The 10,235-nt window shown below is 35.5% G+C and overlaps 1 long non-coding RNA gene across 1 annotated transcript; it reads right to left on the reverse strand.

The window, feature by feature from the left end:
* Window positions 1–1,354: 1,354 nt before the first annotated feature.
* LINC02023 (long intergenic non-protein coding RNA 2023) lies at window positions 1,355–9,519 on the reverse strand. Its single transcript, NR_189162.1, has 2 exons — window positions 9,252–9,519; window positions 1,355–3,142 (listed from the first exon to the last, which is right to left on the reverse strand). It is a non-coding gene; the product is annotated as a long intergenic non-protein coding RNA 2023 (long non-coding RNA).
* Between the last annotated feature and the right edge of the window lie 716 nt (window positions 9,520–10,235).

Raw genomic sequence — 10,235 nt, forward strand, 5'->3', positions numbered from 1 at the left:
TTTAAAAAAGAATTAACAGCAATTCAACAAAATTTCATGCAGAAAAAGAGAGGAGAGAACACTTCCTGATTCATTTTATAAAGGTAATATTACCCTGATACTGAAATCAGACAAAGACAGTTGAAAACATAGACTACATATTTGATACAGCGTACACTGTTCAGGTGACAGGTTCACCAGCATCTCAGGAATCACCTCTAAAGAACTTATCCACGTAACCCATAACAACCTGTACCCGCAAACTACAGAAATTAAAATAAATTACATGTATACAAGTACTTAGCTACTTATGTTTATATAGGTTTAACTTTGTTACTCATTTGCAATGTGACCTTTGATTATCTACATTTTCTTCATGTCAGTTGTAAAATTATGACAGTTCAACAAATCTATCTCAAATATCGGTTCCAGTTTTAAAGCTTTATGATTTTATGATTCAGATCTACATAGTATTACTTAGTTATTCGTCATAAAATATCAAAGGTGAAACTCCATCACTGAAAGAATGTGTTATTCTTCTTTATCACAGCCAAACCCAGTTGAACTTACCACATCACTTCACTTTAATGCCTTTTCTGGCACCTTCACTTTACAGTTCCTAGGAGTCTTCTACTCCAAACATTCACAACCCACATGCACAGTCACTTCCTTGACCTGATCACCACTTGGACCTGCGATAACTCAGAATATTTTCCTGCCACTCTCATGTTCCCACAACTTCTCTCACCTAATTCCACTGACTTCATATTTCCTATCTTCATCATGTTAAGTCTATATGATTTTAAACACTACAGAAAAGTTATGTAATTGCTGATTGAACCCCCTAAGAAGCCCAGTAAGCAATATTAGGGAAACTCTCAGCTGTATCAATCAATTATTTTTGATGCACCCATAGTCAAATGTCTATCTACAACAAGATATATAAACATGGTCACATTTTAACAATTATTGAACAAAATGCTTCTTTCCATTCAGACTCCAGTTAAAATTCTTTATCACCAAATTTCTTGGACATATTAGATTGTCATTCAATGCTTCAATGCTTCCTTTTGTTATACATTGTCATTAAATCATTACATTGGATTCTTTCTCCTATCCCTTCCCTGAAATTGAAATCTCAAAGGTCAGAAACCCAGTGATTCATATATGTCAAGTGAAATATCCATTTTCCCTGTACTCATAAGCTGTTATCAACAACCAGGAGTTTCTCAGTTTCGGGATTTCCATTTTCTACCCAGCCATTAAATCTAGGTCCCCAGAATTCCAACCTGTCCTTGCACCCAAACTGAACTTCTTTTGCCAAATCCACTTCTTATCCTGTAATTCCTTATTTTCTGTAACCTTTTTTTTTTTCTTTTTCTTTTTTTCTTTCTGAGATGGAGTCTCGCTCTGTCGCCCAGGCTGGAGTGCAGTGGTGTGATCTTGGCTCACTGCAAACTCCGCCTCCCTGGTTCACACCATTCTCCTGCTGGGACTACAGGCGAATGCCACCACACCTGGCTAATTTATTTTTATTTTTATTTTTATTTTTAGTAGAGATGGGGATTCACCGTGTTAGCCAGGATGGTCTTGATCTCCTGACCTCATAATCCGCCCACCTCGGCCTCCCAAAGATTTTTCTGTAATCTTAGTTCATCTAGTTTTTCTTTACTTTTTCCACTTTTCACTACCAAGTATTTCTCCCACACACACACAAAAAAACCTTTCAATATACCACTTCACAATTTCAAATATCACTCTATGTCTATTGCTGCTACAAGAAAAGCAAAAGAAATGAACACAAAATAAACAAAATAGGAAAGCAAACAAGCAAACAAAAAACTAAGAGGATGTGGGCTTCGCGATACAAAGACAGTCTTGATGGAACTGCCTTAGAGAAAGAAGCCAGGCAAGAAGAATGGGATTGCAAGAGGTACCATCAAACAGCCCAGTGTTGCAGAGAGGAAAGGTAAAGACAAGACAGCACATTTTATGTTGGTTTTGAGAACTGGATATTACTCACATTTAGAAATTAGCGGCAGATTAAGAAGTAAAGGTAATGAGTGTTGATCATTCTACCTAAGACATTTGTCTAATGGTTACAGTATTGAGGGTGCAAGCAGAAGGACCTAAAATTAAGAACACACTTGGTAGAATCAGTGCCAAAATGTAGAAGAAACTGTTCTACCCCTACAGGTTAAAATAAGATACACAGAAATATCTTAAAATTTTTAAATTATCTTAAAAATAATTTAAATATCCTAAATTATTTTCAAATGCGAAATAATTATTTACAAAGAATGCCTTCAAACTGTTAATTTAGTGCTTAGATTTTAGGAACAGAATATATTGACTATAATAACACATCTTAAACAGTATATTTTTAGGATACTCAAAAACTTAGGATTATCATTTGTCAGGGTCAGGACTAGGGTGAGGCAAACAAGGCACCTGGTGCAAATTTTTATGAAACATTCACTCTCAGGTTCATGGAAGGTCAGGGTCAGCATTTGCAATGGAGAGTGAGGACCTCCTGAAATTTTGTGCCTGAGACACCTTGCTTACCTCACCCTAGTTTTGGCCCTACCATTTGTAAAATATATTTATATGCCTTTACATATCTTACAAAAAGTAATGTAGCATAGCAAACAGGAACTCCTACTAGGTCTATAATAATGTTACATGTTCGTAGACTCTAAGTCTGTATTTTTTATCATCAAATTATATACGTTAAACATTTAAAGTATTAATTAAGCTGGGCATGGTTGTGTATTCCTGTAGTCCCAGCTACTCAGGAGGCTGAGGTGGGAGGATCATTGGAGCCCAGGAGTTTGAGGCCAGCCTGGGCAACATAGTAAAACTTGTCTCTATAAAAAAAAAAAAAAAAAAGTAAAAATATTTACATAAATAAGAGTATATACGGTATAATAATTAAAAGTATATTTAAGTAATTTTAATAACTGCAAAATGTGCATGTATAATTTAAGTAAAATAAGACTAAGAATTTGATTCAAAGTATTTAAATATATAGCTACATATGGATAGATAGGCATGTGTACATTTAAAAAATTAAATAGAAGCACTTAACTTTGGTTTATAATCTTCCTAATTATTTAAATATTTCACTGTATATTTTTCTGTATTTCCAACTTCTTCAATAATCCTGGATTAAGAAGAAAAATAATGTTAGAAGCATGTGTTTATCAAACATCTACTATGTTTACAAACATCCTACTTTTTTCAAATCTCACTATCTAGCAGAGAAGAAAAATTATACCTATCCCCTCTTCACGTACCCATACCCACATAGTTATAATGTAATATAGTAGGCTGCATGCTATAGTACAAAAGAAATCTCTATGTGATTGCAATAAAACCTGCTCATTCCCTAACAAAATAGTAAATTGTTTTTGTTTGTTTGTTTTTTGAGATGCAGTCTCACTCTGTCACCCAGGCTGGAATGCAGTGGCCGATCTCGGCTCACTGCAACTTCTGCCTCACATATTCAAGAGATCCTCCTGCCTCAGCCTCCCCAGTAGCTGGGATTACAGGTGTGCACCACCACGACTGGCTAATTTTTGTGTTTTTAGTAGAGATGGGGTTTCACCGTGTTGGCTAGGCTTGTCTCCAACTCCTGGCCTCAATGTGATCCTCCCAAAGTACTGGGTTTACAGGCGTGAGCCACCGTGCCTAGCCCAAAGTAGTAAACTGTGTGTGAAAACCCAATGAGTTGTGTGGAATCATTAAACCAAAAGCATATTTCCCTCTGTTTTATTCTAAGTTTGTTTTCACTGGAAGCAATTTTTTTCTTTTTAAGTTCTGGGGTACATGTGCAGGATGTACAGGATTGTTACGTAGGTAAACTTGTACCATGGTGGTTTGCTACACCTATCAACCCATCACCTAGGTATGAAGCCCAGCATGCATTAGCTCTTTTCCCTAATGCCCTCGCCCTATCCCCCTGCCCTCCCTCAACAGGCCCCAGTGTGTGTTGTTCCCCTCCCTGCATCCATGTGTTCTCATTGTTCGGCTTCCACTTATAAGTGAGAACACGCCATGCTTTGTTTTCTGATCCTGCGTTAGTTTGCTGAGGATGATGGCTCACTGGAAGCAATATTTACCTCTAGAAAGTGATCAGTTGATAACTAAACTTTAAGTTGTGTTTCTCTATGTTGCACTGAATAATTCATGAAAAATGAGGAGTAAACAAGTGAACATTTAGTTAATAATCATTGTAAAGTTATCTTTTTCCCTTATTATTTATTCTCTATTATGTATATGCATGCTTTAAGAGAAGTTAATATATTTTGACCTGTTTTGCTGATCCCAAATCCACATTTATAAATAAACATTACATTTTTACATTTACATTTTTTAGGCTTTGCACATTATATTCTTTGTTAACAAACTTCAATCTAATTGTATGTCGCCTGCAGATGCAGGCAAAAGGTAATAACAGATGTTTTCATTTTCTACAAATTCAATTACCCAATTAATTTATTATTACTTAGGATAATTACTCTGTTTTATTTGACCTAAATAATTACTAAGTTTTGTAATTGATACATTTTGTATCTATTTTGTATTTAAGTTTTTACTATTTTGTCAGCAATACCTATTATTTTACGTTACTCCATATGCAGCCAAATGAAAGGATTCTTTGGTCTGACAGTTCTTTTCATATTACTTAGTTCCTCAATTTAATTATTCCTAAAATATTTAACAAATACCTAAATGTCACAGTTGAAAGGTAGATGTGTTTATTCTTTGTCTTTCTCCCTCTCTGTCCTCATCTCTCTCTATCTTTCTGTGGTTGCCCATGATTATCTAAGGAGTTACTTAAAGATACATTTCACAGTCTATAAGACATTAAAAAGATTAGTGGTTACCAAAGGTGCAGAGGAGGGAATGAGAGATAAGTAGGTAAAGCACAGGGTATTTTGGGCATGGTAAAACTATTCTGAAATACTGTAATGGTAGATGTATTCATTTACTAGGGCTGCTATTAAAAACAAAATAATAAGAAATAAAACAGGATAGCTTAGAGCAACAGAAATTTACTTTCTCAAGTTCTGGAGGCTAGATGTCTGAGATCAGGGTATTGGCAGTGTTGGTTCCTCGTGAGTGTTGTGACGGAGAACCCATTCCATGCCTCTCTCCTAGCTTCTGAGAGTTTCCTAGAAATCTTTCTGTTCTTTGGTTTATAGATCTATCGCCCTAATTTCTGCCTTCATCTTCACATATGTTCTCTGTATATGTGTCTATGTCCAAATTTCCCATTTTTAAGGACAGAAGTCCTTATTTTAATTTGACGATATTTGTGTAAAGACTTTATCTCTAAGTAAGACTACATTTTCAGGGACTAGAGGTTTAGGGCTGAAACATGTTTTGTTGGGGGACACAATTCAACACATAACAGTGAGTATGAAATTATGCCCTTTTCAATTCCCATATAACTTTACAACATGAAAAGTCAAACTAAATATGTACGATTTTTTAAAAATCATTTAGGAAATCAGGAAGTCACAGGGAAAATGAAGACTGTCACAAAATAATCTGATTAAAGATGTATGAAACATCCTCACAGAAGCAGGTAGGGAAAAGGTACTGACCTAAGTAATTTTGGAAGTGAACAAAAGGCAAAAGGAACTGCACATAAGCACTATACTCTAACTGATCATTTCCCACAACGGCATGGGTTAACAATCTGATATTTATATATATATATATACTTGACTTCAATAACTAAGTAAATGGATGGTGGATGGTGGAAGGCAGGTTTATCACTGTTCGAATGGAAATTTATAAATTAGCAAGGGGAGGAGGCTAGAATTACTCATTATTTAATGGGTTATGGTTAGAGTCATTAGTAAGAATTTATATTAGAACTAATATAGATACAGACAGTTAGATATCAAGTAATCATAGATATGTGTTTATGTATGGGTTAAAATACACACATGGATTTATTCACTCTATAAGCTGAGAGAGCCTAAAGAAATGATACCCCGAAGTCAATGAGTTGGTTTCTAATACCACTTGCCACTAAGAGGAACCAAGGCTCCTTGGTGAAGTGGCGGTGATTTGAGGATTAGGACTGTGTTAAGAAATATACAAGATGAACCTCAAGCAGGAATATCTTGTAGCGCTAGGAATTTAAGGATGCGCTAAAAAAACATGTTAATGTGGGAATCAAAGGGCACGGGAGTGAAGTGAAAGATGTGAGCAATAAAGCAAGTCATATTGAATTGTGACTCAAAGAATAAAATAAATATCCATGAATCTATACTGATGTGAATAAATTATTGAATAAGCTAACAACTAGGGTAGAAAAGAAAATTCCTCTGTGCAGAGTTCCAAATAAATTATGTGGCTACTTCACCCTATAGGAGAGGGAACATTATTATCTCTTTCTTAAGTGTGGTGTGCACATAGTGACTTCCTCCCAAAGCATACAATATGTAGAGGGGGGAAAAGAGTAACTTTAGAGGGGAGAAACCTAACAAGCACTTCAGTCAGGTGATCACAGATAACATAAACCATCATTATTAATCATGTTGATAATAAGTACTCTTGATATGATGAGATAAAAATGCTACTTTATTTCTGTGATCTTTCAAAGAATGTATTAAAAATTTCATTTCACTTTTCAAGTTTTAGCAAATTATACTATTTATCTAATTAATAAGAGTGACAACAGTACTTAAAATGTATATGACTTAGAATGATTACAGTTTTCCCTGGAAAGTTATAAGCCTTTTACACATATTTTGTACTGTAATGGGTTGATTTTCTTAATATTCCCAAATTCCTATGAGGTAGGCTTAATATTATCTCTCTTACAATCTCTTGCCCATTTTCTCAGAGAAGCTGCCAAGATGGCTTTTGTAGCCCAGTAATCTGACTTCAGGATTTCTGTGCCTAACAACTATGTCACACTGCTTCTCAGACCACTTGAAGTTTGCAAATTGTCAGTAAAAAATAACTAATAAATATTACATATTATATTTCTTTTGAGGACAGAATTCAATACATTTGTGTAAAAAAAAATCCTCATTATTCACAGATTCTGTATTTTTGAATCCCCTAGTGGCTTAAATTTATTTGTGACCCACAAATACTCCAGGTTTGGGAGTCATTTGTGGATCCATGCAAAGTGGCAAAAAATGAGCACGTGCTGCCAGCTGAGGTTAACAATGGCAGCACTCTTGCTTAGGTTTAGCTCTCTTTCAGAGATGACAATAATATGCAGCTGGTTGGCGAAAGTGCAGTGTAGTACAAGACATCTGAGCTTTGGGGCCAGTGGGACTGATTTTGAATCCTAACTCTGGCACTTATAAGTGGGGTGGCCTCAGGCAAGTCACTTAACACTTCTGAACCGCAGTTTCTCCTTTATAAAATAAAGAAAATCTACCAGGACGAGTTCTTTCTGACATTTAAGAATTTCACATATAATCTATGTGAAATATGAGGTGTATGTGTATCTGTGCATGTGTGTATGTATCTATCTGTTTTGGTTTATACATAATATATATTTCCTCTAAGAGCAGCAGTTCGGTATTTGTTAACTCAATGTTTGCCCAAATTTTATAGAACATAACCACTTTTTAAAATAGGATGTATTTTTATTTTTTTAATTTTTATGTATTTATTTATTTTGAGACAGGGTCTCACTCTTTTGCTCAGGCTGGAGTGCAGTGGTGCAATCTCAGCTCAATGCAGCCTCAGTCTCTGGGCTCAAGCGATCCTCCCACTCTCAGCCACCCGAGTAGCTAGGACTACAGGCACACACACCACACTCAGTTAGCTTTTGAATTTTTTTCTAGAGACAGAGTTTTGCCATGATACCCAGGCTGGTCTTAAACTCCTGGGCTCAAGCGATCCACTGATCTCAGCCTCCCAAAGTGCTGAGATTACAGATGTGAGCCACTGTGCCAGCCTTGACTGTGTATTTAAAGTGTTTATATGCTAGAAATTCTGATAAACTCTGGGATGTGCAGAGCTTTAGACCACAAGAGATCTCAGTCAAGTGGGGAAAAACTAATATTTTCATAAAAGAATTAAGTAAATTCTTTTGAGAGACACTTGGCAAATCAAAGGAGATAAAATCCAGGCCCTATGTAGCACTTCTGAATGACAAGGATTATGTATCTTCTCATACCTCTCATATTTTTCTTTACAAGGAAGTAAGAATTGGGGGATGGGACAGACTGGAGCAATAATTTCAATCTTTATGCTAAGTCTTTTATATAATTCTCAATCCAGTTTCCAAATAAACCATTGGAATGCATCTCACCTCTCTGTTTTATGGCTTCTAAAATTATCCACAGCATACAGTTAGTGTGGGCGCGCCATGTACTTTACTGACCACAGGCACTGAAAAATTTATTTCCTCATGTCTGAGGGCCTGTGAGTATTATATTACCCATGCTTTCTTCTACCTTAATACACATCCACTTGTGTTTTTAGGCACCAAATAACACAAAAATCTCTTATGCCATTAAAGTTAATTTTTCTATTATTTTCAGTCTCAGCAGATGCTACTGGGAAGTCAGAGAGCCACTACAGTCCTATTAGTGAGCCTAAATGGCTCTGAATTAGCTCAGTGCTAAATTTTGTAATACAAATTGACATTTTATGACCACATAACACACACACAAAAAGTCAATTTCCACTCCCTGAAACAAGTGCGTTAAATTCAGATGACATATTTTCAGCTAAAGTATTTATCCTATCTCATTCCAACACAGATGTGAGGTAGGACACAGATTAAGATGTTATTAATCTAGCAGGAATATGGATTTTTAAAATTTACAATTTAAGACAGAGAGAAAGCACACTACAGCTCTAATTTTCCTTTTTTTCCACCCTGATCACTAACATTTAATTAGAAATTTATGGAAATAATTTACTAAAAATTGTCTGTTCAATTGAAAGTTCTGTTTCATTTCATATGCAGCTTTCTTTAAGACTATCAGTTATGTCATCACATTCAAACCAAATTATAAATATCCTCTCATTTTCAATTTTCATTTTGGTCTAATTTTTCTTGTACTATCTGAGGAAAGCTTTTTTTTTCTAGTAAAGTTCATTATCAGTTCCCAACACTTTCTCCAACCTTGGTTCAGTTGCCCCAAATCTGTGGAACTTACCCATCTGAAACTTACCATCGGTTTTCTCAGCTAGTTCAGGTAAAAATCGCCACTGTCCTCTAGCCCAGAACCATTTTTCAGTCTTCTCCCACCATTCACACTCTTCCCAGAAGCACTTACCTAGCAGGTGCATGGCTCTTAGAATTGAGAGACGAACAGGTGTTGGAATAAAGACCACTTGTTCTAATATCAGCTTCAACAGAACAGGTAGTGGCCTTCAAGTTTCTAATGCAGAACTCCTGTTTATGGCTCAGAAGGCTAGAATGGCTCTGACAAAATTGATTCAAGTTAACTTAAAAAATTTATTAAAAACATTGAGCTATCCCTTCATGGTGTCTCTAAACACCTGTTACATTATGAAAGCCACTAACACCAGGTACTCGATGTACAGTCATCTTGCTTTGTATATCCTTTTATAGTACTTGAAGTTATGGCTCATTACAACACTAAAATATCCTCTAAACATTTTTATAGCTTTTCTTAAGTCTATATCCTCAATACATACTTCAAAGGAAACAATGTATGATGAAGTTTATATGTCTCACCCTTCGTATGACCCTGATTAAAAAAAACTGTTTTTATAATCATACAGTCTCATATTCTGTGTGGTGGTAAATGTAACCATGTATTATTTTTACAGCCAATGGAGGTAAACTATTCCACCATAATGTAAATTCCCCAGGAATGTTATTCACGTCTATAATCCTCAGCATTATTCTTACCTAAGGTTCCAATCATACATTGACAAAAATGGCAGAGGGAGAGAGAGACAGAGAAACAGGGAAAGACAGACAGACATTTTTTTTTCTTGCAGAAAAGCCTTTGGTCTGTTAAGACTGGCACATGTAATCCTGTATGGCTTAATAACACTTTTCTTTATCATCTCCTGATCCTTCTTCTCAATACTGAGACCGGTTCAAGCAGAAATCGTTAAGCCATTGTTTAATGGAGTCATATAAAATGAGCATATTTTATGACAACCCATAGCCATTCCAAACAATGGGGACAGGTGAAATACTTAATATGTTCACAGGCTTACCATAACAACATTATCAAAACAAATACTCAAAATGTATCACTCCATGGGTAAATTATCCCTTTGTG

This window comes from Homo sapiens, chromosome 3 (genome assembly GCF_000001405.40).
Source record: "Homo sapiens chromosome 3, GRCh38.p14 Primary Assembly".
In the NCBI taxonomy this organism is placed as follows: domain Eukaryota; kingdom Metazoa; phylum Chordata; class Mammalia; order Primates; family Hominidae; genus Homo; species Homo sapiens.